The following is a 24,794-nucleotide window of genomic DNA, read 5'->3' as shown; positions in this document are numbered from 1 at the left end:
TTTTAAAACAGAAGGGTGTGAAATCAAAACAGCTTCAACCTCGAAGGCCTCCAGGGATATTCTAAAATAAAGTAACATCAAGTTGCCGTAATATTTATGACACTATTTAAATTGTATCAATATAATTTTAAACAAAGTGTATTTTTGTGTATATTTAGCATATTGGTATACACGCTGTTCTCTATATATGTTGTTCTTTAATAAGAGTCTATCGGCCGGGCGTAATGGCTCATGCCTGTAATCCCAGCACTTTGGGAGGCTGAGGTGGGCGGATCAACTGAGGTCGGGAGTTCGAGACCAGCCTGACAACATGGAGAAACCCTGTCTCTATTAAAAATACAAAAAAGTTAGCCGGGTGTGGTGGCGCATGCCTGTAATCCCAGCTGCTCGGGAGGCTGACGCAGGAGAATCGCTTCAACCTGGGAGGCAGAGGTTGCAGTGAGCCAAGATTGCACCATTGCACTCCAGCCTGGGCAACAAGAGCAAAATTCTATCTCAAAAAAAAAAAAAAAGGACTATCTATACATTAAAAGGACCCATTGTCTCTGATTACACAGTTCCAATGCTGAAATGCTTAAAATTCCCTAAAATAACAACAGAGCAGTTACATATAGCAAAATACGCTGAAGAATGTTTACAGAAAATCACACACAGCAAAATAAGATTTTTAGAATATCTGAAAAAAACTACTTGACCTTAATCCTCACACTGTCTCCTCTAATAATTCCAATATGTCCTTTCTTCTTGTGTCATATTGACACATACAGCACATGTCATGAATAAAATAGCATAAACCAGTATCAGCCAAGAAGTCTGTCCCCTCATCTTACCTCATACTTCACCTAATTTTTCCTATATATATACTGAGCTTTTCTTAAGAAATATATTTCATTATCTCCCACATGAACGCCTTCTTTCTATGACATCTCAACCTATACGGGGGAGGGGGAGAGACATGGAATCTGAGTATTAGTATCTTTTCAGCAACACAGATGCACTTCAAAAAGACATAACATACAATTGGAAAGACTTCAGAAAAGACATCTAAATATTTATAGGAATCGAAGTCCAGACTAAATAAAAGGGACTTCTTCCTAGAAAAACAAAAGCTGAGAGAGATGGTTAGGTCTATAAAATTAAGTCAAATATCAAGACAAATGAGGTGAACGCAATCTTGTCTGCCAGAACCTAGAAGACTAAGAAGTTGAAGTTCAAGAGTTTTTTAAAAAATTACCCTAAAAACATATATATTATTGGAAGTGTTAATAGAAGTGAAAATATAGATTCAAGAGAAGTTTCAATTCATGATGGTTAGATTCATGAATGATTAATGAAAGATGTTCATTTCTGGTACACATAGGATGTAATTACAACAATTTTTCACAAAACATACCCTGGTACCATGCTGGGCCAGAATACTGCTGAGAGGCACTAACATGACTTTAAAAGCATTACTCAAGTTCTTCTAGGACCTTCAAGGAGCAGAGATGTCTCAATTATCATCTTAACTTGACCATTCTTTGCAGCATGAACCTACTGCCATTTCTTCATTGAAATATCACCTCCTTTGGTTTCACTAACCTTATACTCACCTGATTTACCTCCTATCTCAGTGTATCCAACTCCTTTCCAAACTCATCTTTTTCTACCTGTGTTCCTCAGGGTTCCATCCTTAGTTATCTTTTCACTCTATACCACTGGGTCTCAAAAGAAAGTGACACTTTTTCAAGAGATGAAAGAAAAAAGGTCAAGGATGAACTATCCAAACCTTATCGTGGACCCACTAAACTGGGGCTAGGGAAAGCATGAGTAATGTGTTTTTTAGAAAAGACTCCCGAAGTGATTCTGACAACTCCATTTCTATCCCACAGAGAATCACTGATCTAACAATACTTCTTATGTGACTCTACCTGCTCCCTTGGCTTCAGTTATGACAATACACACTCATGTCACCCTAAATGATAAAGCCCTAGCTCATCCTCTCTCCTAATTCAGACACCTAAGGCATTTTCACACTTAGATTGTCCATAAGCCCTAAAATTCAACATATTTCATGCTACTTTTGTAGCATAATAATACTCATCAAGAAGGAACTAGATAAACTGATTACATAAAATCTGGTACATGCACCTAACTGGAATACTGTTCTGCCATTTATTATACAGGATGCTAGAAATGTATATGCTCATTTGGAAAGAATTCCAAGATACGTTAACTGAAAAAACTGAGGTGGTTCCGGAATAGTGTGTCGTATGCTATTTGTGTTAAAAAAAAGAACAAATGCAGTACATGCATAGGAAACATACTCAAAAGAACATAACCATGACTAAGTGGGACTAAGGCTATGGTCTCCCAGTAAGGGACTAAAACTAGGAGGGAGACATCCTTTTCATAATATACCCATTTATGTGTTTAAATTTTTTACCACACAAATACACTCATTTTATAATTTTTTTAAAAAAGGATTTAAAATAATACAAAACCATACAGTACATGTACATGCTATCTAAAAAAGGACTCATCCAGAATACATTTAAAAAAAAAAAAAAAAAAACTCTTACAGGCCAGGCATGGTGGCTCACGCCTGTAATCCCAGCACTTTGGGAGGCTGGGGCAGGAGGATCACTGGAGCCCAGGAGTTCAAGACCAGCCTGGGCAACATGGTGAAACCCTGTCTCTACAAAAAATTTAAGTTAGCTGAGTGTGGTGGCACACACCTGGGGTCCCAGCTACATGGGAGGCTGAGGCAGGAAGATCACTTGAGCCCATAGGCTGAGGCTGCAATGAGCCATGACTCTGTCACCGCACCCCAGCCTGGGAGAGAGTGGTGAGACTCTATCTCCAACAACAAAACAAAAACCTCTTACAAATGAATGAGAAAAAAGCAGATGACCTAATAGAAACGTAAGCAAAATGCTTAAACAGGCACCTCACAACAAAGTTTAGCCAAATGGCCAATGAAAAAAGATGCTCTATTTTGTTAGTCATCAGAGAAATATAAATTAAAAGAAAAATGCAATAACTTTATACAACCAAAATGAAAGTGACCATCAACAGCAACTATTGACAAAATGTGGACTAACCGGAACTCTCATATACTGGTGGTATGAATGTAAACCGATATAATCATTTTTGAAAACTGGTAGTATCTAGTTTTTTTTTTTGAAACATACATGCATACACACATATATCATAATGATATATGCATATGAGCATATATCATTATATATGCATGATATATGCATATATGAGCATATATCATTATATATGCATAATGATATATGCATATGAGCATATATCATTATATATACATAATGATATATGCATATGTATCATATAGTGTCAGCATTCAACACCACCAAATGCTGACAAGGATATGGAGCAACAGGAACTCTCATTCACTGCTGATAGGAATGCAAAATGGTACAATCATTTGTTAGAGTTTCGCAGTTTCTTACAAAACTAAACATACTCTTATCATATGATCCAGCAGTTGTGTTCCTTGGTATGTAACCAAATGAGCTGAAAACTTATGTCCACACAAAAACCTGCACACAGATGTTCCTAGCAGCCTTATTCATAATTGCCAAAACTTGGAAGCAATCAAGATGTCTTCCAGTAGGTAAGTGGATAAACTGTAGTATAATTCAGACACTGGAATATTATTCAGCACTAAAAATGAGCTAGCAAGCCATGAAAAGACATGGAAGGAACTTAAATGCTTATTACTATATAAAAGAAGTCAATCTGAAAAGGCTACATACTGTATGATTCCAACAATATGAAATTTTGGAAAAGCCAAAATTAGGGAGACAATGAAAAGTTGTTGCCAAAGGTTGAAGAGAAGGGAGAGATGAACAGGCAGAGCAGAGAGGGTTTTTACGGCAGTGAAATGTTCTATATGACATTATAATGGTAGATTCATTACACATTGTCAAAATCCACTGAATATACCACCACCAAGAGTGAATCCCACTGCAAACTATGGGCTTTGAGTGATAATGATGTGTCACTGTAGGTTCATCAATTCTATAAAATGTTCCACACTAATGTGAGATGTCGATAGTAGGGGAGGCTGTGTGTGTAGACAGTTAAAGGGTATATGGGAACTCTCTCTTTTTACCTTCTAGTAAATTTTGTTGTAAACCTGAAACTCCTTTTCAAAAATGAAGTCCTTTTTTTTTTTTTTTTTTTGAGACAGTGTCACTCTGTCGCCCAGGCTGGAAGTGCAGTGGCGCAATCTTGGCTCACTGCAGCCTCCACCTCCCAGGTTCAAGTGATTCTCCTGCCTCAGCCTCCCGGGTAGCTGGGACTACAGACGCTCGCCACCACGCCCAGCTAATTTTTGTATTTTTTAGTAGAGACGAGGTTTCACTATGTTGGCCAGGCTAGTCTCTAACTCCTGACCTCAAGTGATCTGCCTGCCTCGGCCTCCCAAAGTACTGGGATGACAGGTGTGAGCCACCGTGCCCGGCCATGAAGTCTATTTTTTTTAATCTACCAAAGTACACACTTGAAATGTTTGCAGTAAACTAAGTCATACTTCAATTAAAAAGTAGAAAAACATCTAAGAAGAAAAAAATTGTAAGTAATCTGTGATGGTACAAGTTGGGATAGTGATTACCCCTGAGAGAGGAAGGGAGCAGTTACTGGAAGAGGACAGGAAGAGGGATTCTTGGGGGCCGGAAATGCTATTTCTTGTTAGCTATTTCTGGTTACACAGGCATATTCACTTTGTGAAAATTCATTTAGCTATACACTGAAGATTCATGTATTTTTCATTATTTATATTTCAATAAAAAATTCACATAAAAAAAGATACAATGGTAGCATGCCTGTAGTCACAGCTACTTGGGAGGCTGAGGTGGACTGCTTGAGCCCAGGAGTTCTGGGCAGTACTGCATTATGCTGATCAGGTGTCCACACTAAATTCAGCATCAATATGGTGACCTGCCATGAACAAAGGACCATCAGGTTACCAAAGGAGGAGTGAACTGGCCCAGGTTAGAAATGGAGCAGGTCAAAACTCCTGTGCTCATCAGTAGTGGGATCACGCCCGTCCCAATGTTTTGGGAGGCCAAGACGGGAGGATCACTTGAGGCCAGAGGTTCAAAACCAGCTTGAGAAACAGAGACAGACCCCCATCTCTACAAAAAAAAAAGAAAAACTTTAAAATTTGGCAGGTGTGGTGGCATGCACCTGTAGTCCTAGCTACTTCAGAGGCTCAGGCAGAAGGATCACTTAAGCCCAGGAGTTCGAGGCTACAGTGAACTATGATCCTGTCACTGCACTCTAGCCTCCTGGGCAACAGAGCGAGACCCTGTCGAGGAGAGAGGGGAGAGGGGGAGGGAAGGGAAGAGAAAAGCAAAGCAAAGCAAGAAACTGTCTTATAAGCTGTCTATAATTCACCAGTAAGTAAACTTAACCTGTCTAAAACTAATCATCTCTCTCACCACCCATTACCATCTTCTAGTACAAATTCACTGAATCACTTCAACTTAAGAACTTCCAAAGCATGAACTTTTTCCTACTGTACAAAACAATGCATACCACTGACAGAGGGCACTACTAGTTGCTTCTCCAATTTCACTTTGGATTTAGGAATAGATGAATTCACAAATGACCTTTCATATCTAGAGTTTGTAAGTGAAAGAACTTCTACACCCACCGCAAGTGACCTGACATCATCTTCCATCCTGCAGTCCATGTCAGACCCTGCTGCCTCTCTTCTCCTTTACCACCACTCCCCACCATCCAATCTGTCGCTGCTCTTAAACTTAAGCCCCCTCTTCACTCCCCACTGCCAGCCTACAATTATTTTCAGCCCCCTACTGCTGCCTTCTCCCAGGGTTACTTTATCTAGGGTCCACAGGCTCCCATGGTCCACAGGCTAACCGGTTTCCTTTGTAATTACAAGTGTTTTGTTTTATGCATTATTCTCAGAAGGGGTCCACGACTTCACCAGATTGCCAAAGGGATCCATGGTCCAAAAAGGTTTAATTGCTCTAACTGGTCTCTCTGCCTATACACTCCAATGCATCCTCCACATTAACTTTTTTGAAACATATTATAAATATCATCTGTTATCCATGCTTAAAATCTTTAAATGCTTCCCAGTTGCTTCCTGATCCTTAAGTTCAACAGTGCAGCAATGAAGTATCTTCATAACTGGCCCCTGCTCATCTCCCCAGGTTTGTCTTGCCTCCTGCCATACACTGCAGCTAACATATGGACTTGTGTTTGCACCTCTCTTAATTCAGCACACTTTCCCATTCCTCTGTGCCTCTCTGTACATGCTGTTCCCTCTGCCCAGAAATCCCCTCCTTACCATCTTCATGTGGTTAACTTCTGCTCGTCTTTCATATCTAGCTCAAACCTAACTCATGAGAAGCTCTCCTGGCCGCCCTCAGTTCCCATCTAGGTAAGCTGCCCATTAGAGTTCTCACAATACTCAGTGATCTCCCAGAGCACTTCTCGAACACTGTTTTGTCAGTTTATTGATCCATCTCCCCTTCTAGACCGTGAGCTTTCTCAGGGCAGAAGCCAGACCAAGGTATCTCTTGCCTAGCATAGCTCAAGACACACAATAGAGTGCTTAACACTTGCTGGAAAAAGGACTGGCTCTGGAAAATGGCCAAAGGGGCCAAAAGCTGGTCAGAAACTTCACCAATTAATAAGGTGGCATCAGTCTGGAGATCACTATAAATGCAAATTTCCCATATGAGGTAAGATAGTTCTGTATTTACTAATCTGCCATCAGTGCTCCTTCTTTCAAGTTGGGAAGCTGGCCTTTAATAAATGTAATTACCATGACCAGGCTCTGTGGCAAGGGCTTGAGAGGCATCAGAGCTCATTAAATCTCAAAGCCAACTCTAAGATACTATTTTTTTAAAGATAAAGAGACACAGAGGTAAACTCACGTCTTTGATTCCAATCCAGATCTTTGATTCCAAAACCCATGCCTAGCCACTTGGTTCAGCTGGTTTTCTGGAGATAAGAGATCAGTATGCCCTTCATCTTCGGAGTTTTGGAGGAGTTTGGGATAGACGAGAAAGGGGGCCCTTCATCAGCCTCTCAGCAAATAAGAAAAGGTCCCATTCCCCAGGAAATACTACTGTTAAATTCTTTAAGATCTAATGTAACTTCCCCATATGTATTCACTGTAAAATCTTTTAAAAAAGAAGGGCTTGTGTGAGTTGTTTTTCTAAGAAGAGCAAGTTAAACAGACGATGGGCAAGACTGTTGAATTCCCCACCAGGCATGGGGGAAAGAGGAGAGAAGAAAAATCAATCCCAAGGAATGGAATTAATAGGTTGTGGCAATATCAATAAAAGAAAGGTAGGTTGAGTCTCCATGGCCTGCTGCAAAGAGAAACCATGAAGCATTTTTCTTTAACTGGCTAAGAAGGTATCTATGGTCTTAGCAGAAGAGCCCGTGGGTTTCTAAAATGATGGAACACCAATTTTGCTGAAAGCTGCTGCTATTTCCACTAAACTTTAGTTTGGAATCTGTATCTCAGCTGTCATCCTGTGATCATTAGCACTTTCCTGTAAGGTCCCAGGGGACTCACATACCACACTTCAAGAAAAGACAGAACATCTCATTCACCCTAACCACCACCTTTTCACATTAATTACTCTAGCCTTACAGATGAGACCACCTCTCACAGTTTGACTAAACGATGGTGGCCACAAAGCAACTTCATTCCCAATTATAATCCCACCATTCTACTTTCCTCTGTGTGTCCCCATCCTCATCCCCCTTGCCCCAGTCTTCCCCTTTGACCACCTTCTGTGTCCTTTCCCTTCCAACTCACCTCCAAATTACACAGATCTCTGTCCAATGACTTTTCTGCACCGCAACTTTAAACACAAAACCAACAGTCTACTCTTCCTGTCCCTAACTCCAACCAAAAACACACACAATGTAAAAATCTAATTTATTTAGAATGAAAACTATTTAGGTAAATTTGGTGGCTTTCAACTATCATATTAGAATATATAATCCTAGAAAGTTTAAAACCAAGGGTAAGAAAATGCAGTTTGTAGGGACATACACTTCCACAGATCAGGATTTTTGAGATCCCCTAAAGAGATCCTACTATACAAGAGTGCAGTACTCCACACATTTTCACTCAAGATTTTATCTGTCAGTTGCAAAGACTTTTTCATTTAAGTCAAAGCAACTGTTCCTTAATAGATCCTGCTCAATATTCCCTGAAGAAGATCATCAGCCTTACAAATAAAATGCACGGTTTTAAGCACATATTGGAAGTGCTACAGCATGGGTGAGGTTGGGGGAACAGGGTGAGCTAGTTAACAGTGACTGATCCACAGAAACAGGGAACTCAGGCCTCAGAGACTACATGAACATGTCCTCCCAAATCAATAAAAAAAATTAAAAGTTTCTACATGCAAGTATTTTTGTGGGTCAATATACAAAAACACTTCTCCATTTATTTTATTTTATTTCATTTCATTTTTCGAGCCGGAGTCTCACTCTATTGCCCAGGCTGGAGTGCAGTAGTGCAATCTTGGCTCACTGCAACCTCCACCTCCTGATTCAAGTGATTCGCCTGCTTCAGCTTCCCGAGTAGCTGGGATTACAGGCGCAGGCCATTAAGCCCAGCTAATTTCTGTATTTTCAGTAGAGATGGGGTTTTACCATGTTGTCCAGGCTGGTCTCGAACTCCTGACCTCAGGTGATCTGCCCACCTCAGCCACCCAAAGTGCTGGGATTACAGGCATGAGCCACCAAGTCTGGCATCCTCCACTTTTTTTTTTTTTAAAGCAACAAAGCCTCATTATGTTACCCAGGCTGGAGTGCAGTGGCGATTTACAGGCTCAAACCCACTGCTGATCAGTCCACAGAACAGTTCTCCACTTCGTAAGAGAATACCTTTAAGTTATATTAAAAGGAAAAGGCAAACTAAACTGCATGCAGTAAAGTTAAACAATGTAAAAATTTTGTATGTACAAGCAAAGTTTCACACACGAACACATAAGGACTTGAAAAACCTGGTTTTTTTAGATTTCAGCAGCAACTGAAGAAAAAGAATAATACCATCCAGGCCGGGCATAGTGGCTCATGCCTGTAATCCCAGCACTTTGGGAGGCCGAGGCGGGCGGATCACGAGGTAAGGAGATTGAGACCATCCTGGCTAACACGGTGAAACCCCGTCTCTACTAAAAATACAAAAAATTAGCCGGGTGTGGTGGCAGGCACCTGTAGTCCCAGCTACTCGGGAGGCTGAGGCAGAAGAAATCGGCTTGAATCCGGGAGGCAGAGGTTGCAGTGAGCCAAGATGGCGCCACTGCACTCCAGCCTGGGCGACACAGCGAGACTCCGTCTCAAAAAAAAAAGAAAAGAAAATAATACCATCCATGCCTCCTTAGGCACAGAAACCAAGAAATCATAAATCCAAAAGCAACTCACATTGAAATCACCATACCTTCTCCTACCTCTGGTTTATTTTTTATTATTTATTGCTAGTTAATACTCTTATGACTAGTTTAAGAATAACTATACTACTCAATGTACTTTATGTGTCTCATCGTAAATCTTTTCAGGAGACGATTTTGCCAGTACATTTTTCTGCCGAAAGCATCCTAGAAAGGGCTGCCATTAAAAAATTATGATCTGAAATAGATAAAAGCTTTCAAAGCACAGAACTGACAGCAAAGCCCACCACCCACTCTGTGTTCCTCAACTTCCTGCCTCCACTCTTCCAGTTAGGTACCATAAGCCACAGAAATTTTTTTTTACTTTCTTGTAAAAAATAAATGAATAAAACCAAGTGCCTGGACAAAGAAGCTGACTACAGGAAGAGTGTTTGTGATATTCTTGAACGGTCAGAATGTTTCTCCTTCCAGGAAGTGTGGCTGTGAGTGTGATTATTTTATGCAACTGCACTTCAACTTATCAGTGTGTAAGAGTCCAAGAAGCAGATACATCAACAGCTGTTCCTCCACACCACTCTACTTCAGCAGAAATAAATGAGAAAAGACACTCCCAAAAAGGTCCTAAGTACATCACCAACCTCACTCTGCCAGGTAATGACTAAAGTATCAATAAAGCTAACTAGAGCTTATCCACAACCTGGAAACAAAATGCTCTGGTGTGGCTTGGCCCTCCTCTTCCATCCAAGGCCAGAGCGGTAGCAAGTGGCATCAATGACCTCTCCCAGGACATTCTTCTGCCCTAATAAATTCGAACTTGCCTATGATATGGGACATCTGGTACAGCTAAATGAACAGATGTAGTTAGCTAGTACATCATCCCTCGAGTTAATAGCTGTAGCCAAAACTTCAGGTGCCTGGCACTGTTGCAGCTCTGTCCCTCAGCCTCATGGATGACATGCATTTTCATTCACTTATTTCTATTAGCCTGGGTGCATCACAGATCAGTTTGGTTTTGTCCACTACTGCTGGAAATTCCAATATACCCCACCTTTCTCTATATATGGTAACCTGAATTTACCAGAAAATCCAATGCACTTATCCCTAATCACATATAAAAAGCTGCCATGAGATTTACATTTGTGAAAACAAATATTTTTCCTCCACAAAAGTCATAAAAGCTAACTAGAGCCTATCTACAACCTATCAACTTTCAAAAAGGTGAGTAGCTTCAAAAATTCTTTGAACCAAAAAGAAACTGATTGTTAGACCAATACCTCCCTGTACAAGCCGCTGAGGTTGCCAGTTTAACAGTGCTAAAAGAGCTAAAATGTCTGACTCAAAAGTAACACTTCAAAAAAGGTTCAAATTACAGACTACATTATAATTCCCATTACTGAAATGTTAATTCCCATTCCTGACCAAAGGAACACATCCCAGTAATCTGGATTAACAATAGCATTGCTTCTCCCAGTGGAAATAAACTATGTTAGGGCCGGAAAGAAATTTAGAGCTAAATTAGCTAAGTCCCTCATGTTCAGAATGTAAGAAAAAAAGGGATCTAGAGAGCCCACAAGAAAACAGGCTTGAAAATTCTGGCTGCCCATCAGTCAACATTCTAGAACAGCACTGTCCAACATAACTTTCTTGAAGGATGAAAATGTTGTATATCTGTGTTCCTCAATAGGGTAATCACTAGTTACTGAGCTAGTGAGTACTTAAAAGTAGCTACTGTGACTGAGAAACCACATTTTTAACTTTAATCTGAATTTAAATTATTACTTACAGCTAATGGCCACCATACTGGGCAGTGCCATTCTAGGATACAGTTTTAGATTCTGATTATTAGACACTTTTTTTTTTTTTTTGAGATGGAGTCTCACTGTGTTGCCCAGACTGGAGTACAGTGGCACAATCTCAGCTCACTACAATCTCTGCCTCCTGGATTCAAGCGAATCTACTGCCTCAGCCTCCCAAGTAGCTGAGACTACAGGAGCATGCCACCACCTCAGTTAATTTTTTTATTTTTGGTACAGACGGAGTTTCACCATGTTGTTCAGGCTGGTCTCAAACTCCTGACCTCAAGTGATCCTCACGCCTTGGCCTCGCAAAGTGCTGGGTTTACAGCCGCCAGCCACAGCATCCAGCCAAGACACTGTAAATAAAGTTCCTTAACCTCCTTTTCTGCATATGACACTTACAGGAAATGTCTTATGTTTAAATATCTCACTCAGCAATGTAATCTTGTTACACAGGGACCCAGCCCAGAGCAGGATCGCTGTTCCTCAGAAACCCTAGAAAAATTGAGTAACATCAGTGTCATCCACACAGTTGGAATGAAGGCCCTCTTTTGAAAACCACTCTGACACAAAGTCCCACGAAATCCAAAAAGCCAGAATCTGGATGATTTTGTAAGTACTGCATTACAAGTGCTGGGTCAAGACCAATCACTTCCTTCAAGTAGCTTTGCTGAGATATCAACCTTAACCTTTCTTCAAAAACAGAAAAGAATTTCTTTTTTTTTTGCAAGAGAGGGGACTTTGATAGGCTCTGCTTCCAGCCTCAGCCACAAAGCCATGCAGCCTGCCAGTCCCAGGCCTGGGTGAAAAAGAAAACAACAATATTTAACCTCAATTTTAATCTGTGATTATTGCAAGAATTCAAAATACTACATCACTTTGCATGGACAGAACCTCCCTATGACCTAATAAAAAATCCAAATGATATTAGTTCTCACCCTCTAAGTATTCTGTTCTAAATAAATAATCTTTTATATACTGTTCTTGGTTTCTTTTTAAGGACTTTATTCTTTTCAAAGCCTTCTTAGTTCTCTGATTTTTAGAGCAAGGAAAGGTTAATTTGTGAAAACTAATGTTAATTTTGATACCATTAAGGATTATAAAGAGATTTTTAGTCAAAACTTTTCAGTATGATTTAAAGTTTAGAATTCTCTTCTATTTTGGAAGAGTGGGAGACGGTAAATGGAGAAGAGAAGATGATAAAACCAAAAGAGCCATATGCTAACTGGACCTAACTCTAAAAAGCTATTGCCTCAAACCAATAGAAAGAAGACTATGTTTCTTTAAATTAAAAAAAAAAATTATTTCCCTGTGTTCCATCACATCAAAGGGACGAGTTTCCTATTTTCTGAATCCCCCAAATGTAATGAGGAAAATAGGGCAAGCAGATAAATGAACCGACAGTGAATACTTAATTTAAATCATGTTTTATCTTCAGATGCACACAATACTCAAAGATGCAAAGTAAAACTCCACAAGCAAGCATTTTGTTTTTTAATAGAATGTTTAAGGGGGTTTTATAATCAAGGGATAAGTAGTGACATCAATGGAACGAACATTCTACTGATTAGTAATTCATACTGTGTTCACATGATCTTGAAAGCCCAAGTTAAGCTGGTTAAAGTGTGGCAACATGTTACAATTGGGAGACTGAGACTGAAGAGGCAAAATGAGTGTGAAGTCCACACACTATGAGGAGCCAAGCACACTAGCTAGATGATCTACACAGTGACAGTAACAAAGGTGATGTTTGACAGCAATTCACTAAGCCTGGGCTCAGAGGGAAAAAATATATACATTGATTCTAAACTAGTCAGTATCTTATGATTGCCAAAAATAAAGTGGAATAAAACAAATCATGTTATGTTTTCAATCAACTTTCTATTATTACCGATTTCAGAAATGAAATTTATTTTAGGAGATTACCCCTATCCTTATCTCTACCCATCCCTATCTTAAAGTACATCTTTTATCCAGCCAATTTAGTTTGTAGGCAAAATGCTTCAACAGCAATGATTATAAAAATGAAATACTAACAAAATCTATTTCCCTAAAGAAAATGAACCCATATGATATTTGCTTTGTCATGACTTGTTAGAAGAGCTTCTTTTTTAAAATCAAAACAATGAATAATTTACCTAATAAGCCCCATATTTAACTATTCCATTATTCTCTAAATACCAGACTGAACATTTATGTCTAGTACGCTTTAAGCTTATTTACAAAATAGTAATTCCCAAGGTTTCCATATGTCATCACGAGATTATCTCCAATTGTAAAAGCAAAATATCAATAGTAATTATATTTCTGTACTTAAATAGAATTAGAAAACAATTCCATCTTCCATCCTAATTACCCTATTATCCTATAATACACATACTATATTCTTATACTTATTTTTCTTCCTATCTTTTCTGTAATATTCTAGGTCTTCACATTTGTGAAGAATCTACACACCTCAGCACTTTTTAAATGTCTAAATAATTTAAAATACAGCTTCAACTAATACCACTTATATCTGTATAGTTTAAAAGTGTTTTCGTGTATGTGTATATTTCATCTAAAGAAAGTGTACTAATTGACTATTTCATTTCAGATACAACAATTATCAACAAATACGTTTTTTGCCTGAGTACTAAATGCCTAAAATGAGCCAAGAAAATGTTCATATTTCACTTAAAGTTTTAAGTCCATGTCTCCAAGAAAAATTTGTTTTAATCCTAAAAATATGACGTTAATATATACCGGCCAGGCGCGGTGGCTCACGCCGGTAATCCCAGCACTTTGGGAAGCCGAGGCGGGAGGATCACCTGAGGTCGGGAGTTCGATAACAGTCTCCCACGTCTCTACTAAAAATAAAAAATTAGCTGGGTGTGGTGGCACGTGCCTGTAATCCCAGCTACTCAGGAGGCTGGGGCAGGAGAATCACTTGAACCCAGGAGGCAGAGGTTGCGGTGAGCCAAGCTTGCGCCATTGCACTCCAGCCTGAGTAATGAGAGCAAAACTTCCTACCCCCCCCCAAAAAAAAATACAAAAAAATACATATATAATACAAACAACTTGCAACTTTATCATCAACTGGTTAATATTCAACAATTTCCATGGCAGCAAAGTTTCCCAGTGGAGATGGCCTCTATAAAATAACTTAATTACCTGTACACAATTTATACCATACAAGCCAAGAGGGAGAGAACTGGAACCACGTGTTACAAGCACTAACGCATTTGAATTGTACACTCCTCTTGGCATTCTTCAACTGCATTCTCACAAGAGAATGCAGTTAAAGCTCTCCTATTCAACCGAGCCACACTGATTAGTGTCCTGACTGGGCAATGCTGGGCAGCAAGTCCTGCAGCCTAAGTCACTCGAAAGAGCAGCAATCCTAAAGGAACTGCCGTTAGTCTGCCGGAGCCAAAACATTCTGCTGAGAGGCTCCTCAGCAAAGGGCTGGGTGTGCGCCCTGGCTAGCTGACTTTAGACCTAGAGCTTCCAAGGAGTGCAAAGCTGCATAAAATTTTTAAAACATATTCACCTTCATTTTCATGAAGGGAAAAGGCAAAAGATACCTCCTGAATGGCTTTCACTTCTATGTACTTCGCTCTATTCTCCCCAGGCATTACACTGGTTCACGCCACCACAGGGCAAATCTGGACTTGGCAACGTTCCACGGAAACACGTATATCACATTCATACAGACACACAGAGTCATACCCACACACCCAAGCCATTCTCAAGAACCACCAATAGTCTTTCACATTAAAGATATACATCACTCCCTGATCAAAGTTCTTGAGTAGCTCCTCACTGCACTCAGGATAAAAGTCCAAAGTCCTCAGCATTACAATGCTATGAGGGCCCTGGATCACCAATTCCTCTCAATTCCCCAGCCTTATCTCTAGATTGTGATCACCCTTCACAATCTACCAACAGACCCCCTTATCTCTAGATTGTGATCCCCCTTCACAATCTATCAACAGACCCAACAAACCTGTTCCTCAAATGAGTAGTGCTCTCACTCACATCCCGGCCTTCACCCATGTTAGTCCCACTGCCTGAAAGGAATATTTGTTTCCATACTCTACTTCTACCCTTCCTGTGGGTCTAGGCTAAAGTGTCACTTTCTCCAGGCTACTTTCCTCTACCTCCACCCCAGCTAGGGTAGGTGCCCCTCCCCTAGAGCACCTGTACAACGTATTGCAACTGTCAGTTTACTTCCCTGTGCCCCCTGCCCCAGAGTATGGGGCCAGCACCTCCTTGCCCACCATTATATCACAGGCATTCAAATATCTGTTAAATATATTCTAAGTTTACTCAGTGAACAAAATATGAATGTGGCCCATACAGTAAGGGAAACATGTCCAAAGTCAGTTGTGATACGATGGAAACAAGGCGGCAATGTTGCTATGCTTTGGTATAAAATACAAACTACACAATTGTCTACAAACGTCCTTAGGAAAGGTTAAAACATTGCACCAAAAAGAACACTTTTCACGATAAAAATACTAGTTTTGTGGTCACTACTCCTGCTAGGTAAACTGAAGTTCATAAAAAGTATCAGACTGAAAATATCTAAAAAGAAGCCCTGGTTGCTTATAGGTCAAGTACAACATTAGTGTAACTTTTCCTGTCTGCTGCCACCAAACTCTATTGGCATTATCAGAACCCTACCGGCTAAAGGTAAAAGGCTGGCCGGGCGCGGTGGCTCATGCCTGTAATCCCAGCACTTTGGGAGTCCAAGGCAGGCAGATCACCTGAGGTCAGAAGTTTGAGACCACCTTAGCCAACATGGCAAAATCCCGTCTCTCCTAAAAAACACAAAAATTAGCCGGACATAGTGGTGTGCACCTGCAGTCTCAGCTACTTGGGAGGTTGAGGCAGGAGAACTGCTTGAACCCGGGAGGTGCAGGCTGCAGTAAGTCGAGATCACGCCACTGCACTCCAGCCTGGGCAACAGAGCAGGGCTCCGACTCAAAAATAAATAAATAAATAAAGGTAAAAGGCTATTCCATTTCCTTAGTTTCTAAGCCTTGATATAAGTCTTTCGATAAAGATTCCATTCATGGTAACAGTCCGAAGGACATAAACGTGTTGCCAGGAAAGAGACCTGATACATCCTGAGCATTAGCTGCCACTGGCAGCGACTTTCTTTAGGACATATGTCTTACAATGAGTTACAATCTGAGGCTTGTGACACAAGATTTTTCCAGGGCAGCAGACTGATACCATAAACATGATGGTACTACGCACTCTAAAGAGCTCACCAGCTCCACCCTACACTCCCTGTGTGAAGCGGCAAATTATCCACCCAAAGCCTCAGTTTCCCCAGCTAATAATGAGATAATGGTTCCTACCTCGCAAGATTCTTGTGGGAATTAGACAGTCCATGAAAGCACTTCACAGGCAAACCAATTATTTTCAAATCAAAATGAAGGGAAGACTAGAAATATTTTCACATTTTTAGGACTTTTTATATGCCACAACTTATTTTTGACTAATGTCCTTCCACAGGGAAATTTTTGAGAAAGGCAGAAAAATGAGAAAATGAAAATCCACTTCTTTGTCATAACCTTGAGATACGACAACTTCCACAGAAGTCTACATTAAGATCCACTTTCTAATCTTTCTCTGCACTCCCAAAATTACTCTTAATTTCTGTTAACCATTCCTACAATATGGGAGATAGCAAAGGGAAAACTACTTCCATACTTCTTCCCAAGATGTCCTCACCAGAAACAATCTTCCTTCCTGCCTCTATGTCTCCAAATATACGGAATCTCTCAAAAAATAAAACTAAAACAAAACGATAAAAGAGAAAAGGGACTCAAATCACAAAAGCCAGCCTTCAAAGTCTCCAGCTTTCTTACTGCAGAACTACAGTCATGTGGTATGATGGAGGCACCTGTTAGGTGGCAATCCATGAAGCTTAAAGTGTTACCAGGAGAATTTAAACAGTAATGGGGGGAGGAAGAGGAGCTGATTTCCCACCTCACATTTTTTTCGCCTTAACACATGATGGCCAAACAATATATGCTACCCACTGTCAACATTTTTATCATTTTTACTTAAATTGAGAAAGAGGAGAATTTGAGAGCCAACTGAGGAAACTGGATCTCATATTCCCCAATCCAGGCTGACTTCAGGTTTTGTGTGGTTTTTTTCTTCCTTTTTGACAAGGAAATTTTACATATCTCCTGAAACGTGTTTTACATGAAGGTGAGACCTCAACAATCTTATAACTTTACCCCAGCCTGGTTCTGGACTCGGTTTTTACAAACGGGTGACGTGTGAATAGCTTCCTAAAAGCAAATGGGGCACTGGGATATAATCTAGGAAGTGATGATGCAAGTCTCCGGAGGACGGGGAGGAGGGGAGGTGAAGAAGTCAGAGGAAATACCCTCCTAGTGCCTGGGCACCAACTCACGCCCCGGGAGGGAGGAAGGGCTGGCTTCCACATGCCCACGGAAGGGGCACCCCTGCTCCTCCCGGAGCGGTCAACGCCGCCCCCTCATCCCTCCCCGCCGCCCTGCCCCCCTCACCCGTGGCCCAGGAGGCCCCCGTGGGCCCGAGCTTCAGGCCGGCGAGTCCCAAAGGGTAGCAACGCACCCCCGGCAGGGCCTTCTCTGCCCACCCCCAGCTCCCCACCCGGCACCCCTCCCCGGAACGCGACCCCCACCCCCTCCCCGTAGGCCCGGGCTGGGCCCAGCCTCCAAGGTTCCGGCCTCCCGGGCCCCGAGGCCTGCCCAGGCTGCCCTGGCGTCTGCGCCCCCGGCCCCCGCCCCCCGCCCCCACCCGGCCGGGCACTTACCCCCAGAAGCCGCAGGGACAGCGAGGCGGCAGGCTGGGCGCTTTGCTGCGCTCGCTCCCAGCGTCTCCCATGGTGCTCGGCGGCGGCGGAGCTCGGCGGCGGCAGCGGTGGCGGCGGCTGGGCCCGGGCCCCGCTCTGAGGAGGCGGTGGCGGCGGCGTCGGGGGGCTCGGGGCGGGGGGAGGGGGAAGGAGCGGGCGCGCGGGCGGGCGCGAGTCCGGGGCTCGGAGCCGGGATTCCAGGCCGGTCAGCTGGAGGCGGGCCGCACCACTCGGCCTGCGGAGACGGGGAGGGGGCGGAGAGGCGCGGAGAGAAGAAGGAGGGAGCCGAGGAGGAGGGGCGTGCGGACGCACCGAGGACCGCGGGGGAGGAGGGACACAGACGCCCTCGGCGGGTCTCACCGCCGCTCCCCAGCCAGAGAGATGTCCTGTGCGGTGGCGCAGGGAAGGACCGGAGCCCCCCGCCGGCTCCGGAGTCGCAGCGGCCGCTCTGAAGCCCCGGGCCCTGCTGTCTCCGTAACACCGTCCCCTCCCCCGGAGGCTGCGCTGACCGGACAATGGCCGCTCCGCCCCCTCCCCGGCGTGCGCCCCTCCCGAGGAGTCACAATGGTCTCGCCCGGGGGAGCCAACGCCAAAGCCCAGCCGCTGATCAGCTGGGATCCGGGCGTGCCACTTCGTTCCGCGCCTCAAAGGCGGAGTGCGGGGCTGTGGGAGAAAACGAGAGCCTCGGGCTGTCGCCCGGCGACGGGCGGCTGAGGCCTTCGTATTCTTAGAACTTTTAGAATCTGAAGCAAACTTATCTTCCCCCTGTCTGAAGAAGGGGAGCAGGTTTCTGAGTACTCCGGGGCGCGGTGCCTCCCCCTAAACGCGAATGGTGCGCTCCAAGCGGGAGGGGGAGGAGCAGATTAGTTGTGTAGGGTAAATTGGGCCAGTCCCAGAGTGGCGGCGCATGCGCCCGTAGAACCCGTAACCGAGTGCGAGGAGGGGCCTGGGGGAGCAATGCCAAACGCGGAAGTGGAGCTCTGGCTTCCCGGGGGCGTCGGAGTCAAGGTCCCTGGAGCTGCCGCTCTGGCTCCTGGGCGATTCCGGGGAGCCATTCTCCCCAATTTGCCAACTCCCTGGGCATCTCTCTCTCTCTTCCTGGTCCCGCCACACCCAAACAACTCTTATAGTTCCACCCGGTATACTGGTCTCTTGACAGGAACTTTTGGGAAATGCCCCTCCCCCAGCCCCTTGTCTGGGGCAACTTCCTTGTCTCTTCTCCCCCACCGGTGTTGGGGAGTTCCTTGTCTCCACTCCCAACCACAGAGCCACAAGTACATTATCTATGCCCAGGCGAGTCCCTATGCCCAGGCTAGGAGAGCCGCACTTCTTCCTACAGCTGACACGTTTGGTTTTTGGAGGGGAAAGGGGAGCTGTAGCTGAATCAGTAATGGAAATTGGTAAGTGACCAAAGAAGTTTGAGACACTAAAAAAATGAGTCCTTTAACGATCCTAGTCCTTGATCCTGAGCTCATTCTGATCTCCAGTTAGTCATGAACAGAGAAATCGATTATTGATGACTAATTCAACACGGAGGCAACATCCTCCAGACCTTTTGGAGACCCATCGCTGAGGAAGACTTCCTGGCTCTTAGGAATAGCTGCCGTATACCCTCCTTGCCTGTCGGGTATATCAGAGCCTCAGAGAGACTATTACCTAGATTAATTTGATTACCAAATGTTGCTATCTTATTTCTTTATATACCAAATCACATTTCTGTTTGTGCATACTGTGTGGGTTTGTTAACATTGATGTTTATTTTGGCCTCTAAAGAGCAAGGATCGCATTTAGCTTAATATGCCACAGATGCTGTTGATGGTGAAGTTAATGATTGCAAAAATCAAGCACTTAAAGCCAAAACACCCTAAAATGTGAGTGCTGATTTATTATGCACAATGTTTAGTTTTAATTTGGTGGATTTTCCAAAGCCTTCAATAAGTATATCTGTAAGAAAGTGCATAGAAAAAGCCGGACGCTGTGGCTCACGTCTGTAATCCCAGCACTTTGGGAGGCCAAGACGGGTGGATCACCTGAGGTCAGGAGTTCGAGACCAGCTTGGCTAACATGGTGAAACCCCGTCGCTAGTTAAAAAAAAAATACAAAAACTTAGCCGGGCATGGTGGCACGCGTGTAATCCCAGCTACTTGGGAGGCTGAGGCAGGAGAATCGCTTGAACCCGGAGGGCGGGTGTTGCAGTGAGCCGAGATCATGCCATTGCACTCCAGCCTGGGCAACAAGAGCGAGAGCGAAACTCTGTCTCAAAAAAAGAAAGAAAGAAAGAAAAAATGCATAGAAAGGATAAAGCCATACAGCACACCTTGCTCTCATTGGATTCATATTACCCTTAAATCTTCATTTAAGCCGACATAAAATTCCCACATGCGTGAGATACTTAACAGCCTTTGAGTTTAACAAAGATTAAGTGGGATTATCTCTCTTGGCATCTTGATGATTTTCTTTTATGTACAGAAAAGGAAACTCGACAACTAAAAGGAGAATTCAACATAAAAAGTGATTGTCATTTTCCAAACTGCTTTCCTGTTTGCCAGTTATTCAACAAACATTTATTCAGTACCCAGTATACACAAGGACTTTGCTAAGCACTCTGGAGACTAAAAGGATTAATAAAATGTAGCATTCACCAGCAGGTCCCTACATATAATGTAGATAATTTGGTTCCAGTCTTCCTCTCAGACTTCATTTTCTACTCTTCTCTATTCACTCTGCGAAGCAGACACTAGTTGCCATTCCTCAAATACCTTGCTTTCCCACATCTCCATTCCTTTGTCCTCCTGTTCCTGACTGCTTCAGCTGCCTTTTCTCTTTATATGTATACACACAACACAAGGAGATAATCTTATACAACCCAAGGACACAGAGAGCAGTAAGATCGCATGAAGGACTGAAATAGGTACCTAATACATCAACAGGAAGCCAAGTGTTTGGTTTTTTTCGATATCTTTTTCTCTCTGGTTACAGGTTCTTCCATCTCTGCTTCTCTCTACAAAGCTGCTTTATAATCTCGGCAGAGCTGTTTTCACTGCTTTTTTGGGAACGTAATCCAGGTTTACCCAGCCTCACTTCAAGAACAAACAGAGACTAATTAGTATCTATGAATCCCAATCCCCAGGAGAAAGAAACTGATTGGTTCGATTTATGTCCGCTTGTGTACTCTTGGTACAATCACCTTTGACCAACAGGGCAGTTATGTAGTCAGGTCTTTTTGTTTTGTAAAGCAGACATGGCTGCCAGAACCCCATCTTTGTAGGCTATGTTCTCAAAGTTATGTACTTGGCAAAGATTCCAAAAAATGTCCACCACAGACCATAAAGGAGTAAATTGCAGCTGAACTTCAAAAGCATAAAGAACAATTGACATGTTAAGGATTTTCAACAGACTGACTCCTACTTAAACAAATTCAGACCTGAATTTAAATGGAACTCCTTCAAAGAAGTCATCCCTGACCCAAGCCCCAATCAAAATTTGGTGGCCCCATTATTATCTTACATGGCACTCTTTTTCTTTATAGTACCTATCATAGTTTAAATATGTATTTGTGAGTCTCCTCTCCAAAAATCATGTCTGTTTTGTTTACTGTGATATACACAATACTCAAGGTGCATTTGGGAGGCGTTCAATAAATGTTGTATGAATAAAAGCACAATAATTTGTTAGTCAATGTGAGACCCACAAATGGATTGGAGTCATAGTTAGACAATCCTGGGGGAATGTCTTAGTTACCAACCCACCCTCCCTAGAAGACATTGAAGCTCTCTGCTTTTTTTTTTTTCTGACCTCATTCATCACAAGGCTGCCAGCTTTTTTGTCACACTGAAGTTGTATGAGATGAGACAGTATTTAGCTGCTGCTTATGACGTTCCTAGCCAGATAACTCTTTACTCTTAGTTCCCAGTGTCTCTATCTATAGAGCCCTTGATCCAATTCCTATAACAAGCCCACTTAGTTGACTGAAAGCTCAGAGAGGACATAAAATTTCAGGGCATCATCAAATTAGGGGAGCAAAGTGTGGGGGTAATTGGCAGAGTGCTTTTGTCGTAATTGTCTTGACTATTTTCTGTCGTGTATTATGTTCCAGATGAACCTGTGATGTGACTCCTGGGAGTAGTTTGCAATCACCATTGGCCCAAAAGGAGCCATCTACGTGCTCAGTGGGGTCTAGTAAAGGATAATATTAATTCTTCAGCAGCCAGAGCTTTTGAAGTAGGAACTGAGGGTGTATAGAAAAGAGCCTGGTATGATTCAAGGTCAGGAGCAAACAATGGCTGCCTTCTTGGTAAGAATTCAAAAGACCTACTTAGCCCTGGAAGACTTTACCAAAAAGAAGGGACTTGTAGAGACCTGAGAGAAAGCAGATGATCCTCCACTCTAATTCTAATCCCTACCCTTGAAACTCACTCTCAGTTCAAAACTTGTCATCATTATAATCCATCCTAACCTAGTATTAGCCCCAATGTCCAATCCAAACTCTAGATTTAATTCTAATCCTAATATTATCTGTAAAATTTAATCTCAGTTCCCAACTCTAGTTTTATGAGCTTAACAAAGGCTCTTTGCCTTGCCACTGAGTTATTTTCCCTAGCTCCTTTTTCTTGGGTCCCTTGACCCTGACTGACGAATGAGAGCAGAGAACCCTATAACATCCTGGACCTCTGGAGAGAATGAGAGCCAATTTCAATAATCCAGGTTGGATCCAAGGCCTTGGGCTGCCAGGAAAGAGAAAGTGGGGCATCTGTGACCAGAGCAGGAGGCAGAGACCCTGCCCAGTCACATTTCTTGTTGCCTAATTCAGGGACTACTAAGCCTCTGAAAGTCCAGAATACATGCACTCCAAGTCACCTATGTAGACTCAGGAATGTGAGGTACAGTTGGCCTACAGTGGAAGACCTGAGACCCCTCTGCAAAACAATATGGTTAGATTAGACGAGTGACCCCTCTGCAAAACAATATGGTTAGATTAGACGAGTGGCTTTTACGCTATGTTCTCAGAGAGCAAGAATTCTGAGTTTTGCTCTCCTCTTTCATTTGAATTTGGCTTTCCAAGGGGATGAGAAATTTTTTTTCAAAAGGCATTGAACGAGATCCTCTCTAAGGTTCCTTCTGGCCCTTGAGTTTTCTGATGTGCAGTTGATTCTTTTAGTCACTTATGGTCCAGTTGGCATGGATAAACTCTCAGAGCCAAGGGAAAAGAAGGGCAACCAAGCATACCATCTCCAGCCTGTCTCAGGAAACTAAAAATGAATTAAATAAAATGAAGAGTGCGACGGGGAGAAAGGGAGGAGGGGAGAAAATGCTGCCATTTCACGTCCCATGTTCCTCACGTTCATGAAGCAATTGCTGATTTCCCTGCTGCTCACACCCATCTTGGTGTGAAATTTGATTTTGCTGACTTTTAAATTTATTTTCAAGAATGGAAATAATTGTTTTTCCTAGAAATACTTGACCTTTGTGGGGAAAAAGAAATTCAAACAATGAGAAAGCAGAAGTCCTCCCTAATACCATCGTCCTCTAGAGATACCCTTTGCTAACAGTTGGTATATAGCCGTCTAGGCTTTTCATTTGTGTATGGTCATATAAATGGAATCATGTAACACATAGTATACTCTAGCTGATTTTTTTTTAACTTTGAAATAAGTCACGTACATCTTCCATATATAGTTCTGCAGTATAGTCTTTTAGTTAGGGTTCTCTAAAGAAACAGAACCAATGGGAAATTATATATGAGATTTATTATAAGGAATTGGTTTACACAATTATGGAGGCAGAGAAGTCCCAAGATTTGCAGTGTAAAGGCCTGGGAACCAGGAGAATCCATGGTGTAAGTTCTAGTCTGATTCGGAAGCAGGAGAAGATGGATGTCCCAACTCAAAGGCTTTCAGGCAGACAGCAAATTCTTTCTTGCTTAGCCTTTTCTTCTGTTCAGGCCTTCAATAGGCCTGCCCATCTTGGGGAGGGCAATCTACTTTACTCAGTCTACCATTTTGTTTTAATTCATTCAAACTGCTATAACAAAATACCATAAGGGCCAGGCGCGGTGGCTCACGCCTGTAATCCCAGCACTTTGGGAGGCTGAGGTGGGCAGATCACGAGGTCAGGAGATCAAGACCATCCTGGCTAACACAGTGAAACCCCGTCTCTACTAAAAATACAAAAAATTAGCCTAGCGTGGTGGCAGGCGCCTGTGGTCCCAGCTACTCGGGAGGCTGAGGCAGGAGAATGGCGTGAACCCAGGAGGCGGAGCTTGCAGTGAGCCAAGATTGCGCCACTGCACTCCAGCCTGGGCGACAGAGTGAGACTCCATCTCAAAAAAAAAAAAAAAAAAAAAAAAACCATAAAGTGGGCAGCTTATGAACAACAAGAATTTATTCCTCACAGTTTTGGAGGTTGGGAAGTCCAAGATCAAGCCACTGGCAGATTTGATCTGATGAGAGCCCACTTTCTGGTTCATAGATGGTACTTTCTTGCCATGTCTTCATATGGTAGAAGGGGCAAATGAGCTCCCTTGGACACTAATGCCATTCATGAGGACTGTGCCTTTATTATCTAATCATCTTCTAAAGGGCTGTACCTCCTAATGCCATCACCATGGGGATTAGGAGTTCAACATATAAACTGGGGACTATGTGTGTTGGGGGACACAAGTATTCAGACTGTAGCAAATGTTAATCTCAACCTCAAAGATGCACCCATAATAATATTTAACCAAATATCTGGGTACTGTGCAGCCCAGTCAAG

The 24,794-nt window shown here is 42.7% G+C and overlaps 1 protein-coding gene, 1 long non-coding RNA gene and 1 pseudogene across 5 annotated transcripts in view, besides 5 other annotated features; 2 read left to right on the top strand and 1 right to left on the bottom strand.

Moving 5' to 3' along the window:
• The window catches only part of ZFAND3 (zinc finger AN1-type containing 3), a 334,898-nt gene extending 316,606 nt beyond the window's left edge, over positions 1–18,292 (bottom strand). For all 3 annotated transcript variants that reach the window (NM_021943.3, XM_011514790.3, NM_001410904.1), the window contains exon 1: positions 18,003–18,292. In NM_021943.3, the coding sequence (NP_068762.1) occupies positions 18,003–18,073 (71 nt within the window). In that variant the 5' untranslated portion in view covers positions 18,074–18,292. The remainder of the gene's footprint in view (positions 1–18,002) is intronic.
• On the top strand, positions 4,834–5,097 carry RN7SL285P (RNA, 7SL, cytoplasmic 285, pseudogene; annotated as a pseudogene).
• Positions 17,666–17,835: a silencer, noted in NCBI's record as "silent region_17156". NCBI's record gives its function as "represses an Ori minimal core promoter by ATAC-STARR-seq in GM12878 lymphoblastoid cells {active_cell/tissue: GM12878}" and the evidence as "EXISTENCE:reporter gene assay evidence [ECO:0000049][PMID:35858748]".
• Positions 17,924–18,726: an enhancer, noted in NCBI's record as "NANOG-H3K27ac-H3K4me1 hESC enhancer chr6:37787069-37787871 (GRCh37/hg19 assembly coordinates)". NCBI's record gives its function as "activates a minimal SCP1, AML or CMV promoter by ChIP-STARR-seq in naive H9 embryonic stem cells {active_cell/tissue: H9 hESC(naive)}" and the evidence as "EXISTENCE:reporter gene assay evidence [ECO:0000049][PMID:30033119]".
• Positions 17,996–18,225: a silencer, noted in NCBI's record as "silent region_17155". NCBI's record gives its function as "represses an Ori minimal core promoter by ATAC-STARR-seq in GM12878 lymphoblastoid cells {active_cell/tissue: GM12878}" and the evidence as "EXISTENCE:reporter gene assay evidence [ECO:0000049][PMID:35858748]".
• Positions 18,266–18,645: a silencer, noted in NCBI's record as "silent region_17154". NCBI's record gives its function as "represses an Ori minimal core promoter by ATAC-STARR-seq in GM12878 lymphoblastoid cells {active_cell/tissue: GM12878}" and the evidence as "EXISTENCE:reporter gene assay evidence [ECO:0000049][PMID:35858748]".
• Positions 18,632–21,705, top strand: ZFAND3-DT (ZFAND3 divergent transcript). 2 transcript variants are annotated; one of them, XR_001744107.2, is made up of 2 exons: positions 18,632–19,441; positions 21,021–21,705. It is a non-coding gene; the product is annotated as a ZFAND3 divergent transcript (long non-coding RNA). The 2 variants fall into 2 exon arrangements; XR_007059569.1 differs by having other exon boundaries at positions 19,529–21,705.
• Positions 18,696–19,085: an enhancer, noted in NCBI's record as "active region_24480". NCBI's record gives its function as "activates an Ori minimal core promoter by ATAC-STARR-seq in GM12878 lymphoblastoid cells {active_cell/tissue: GM12878}" and the evidence as "EXISTENCE:reporter gene assay evidence [ECO:0000049][PMID:35858748]".
• Positions 21,706–24,794: the final 3,089 nt, after the last annotated feature.

This window comes from Homo sapiens, chromosome 6 (genome assembly GCF_000001405.40).
Source record: "Homo sapiens chromosome 6, GRCh38.p14 Primary Assembly".
In the NCBI taxonomy this organism is placed as follows: domain Eukaryota; kingdom Metazoa; phylum Chordata; class Mammalia; order Primates; family Hominidae; genus Homo; species Homo sapiens.
The sequence above is the reverse complement of the archived record's forward strand: the minus strand, read 5'-3'. Positions and strand labels throughout refer to the sequence as shown.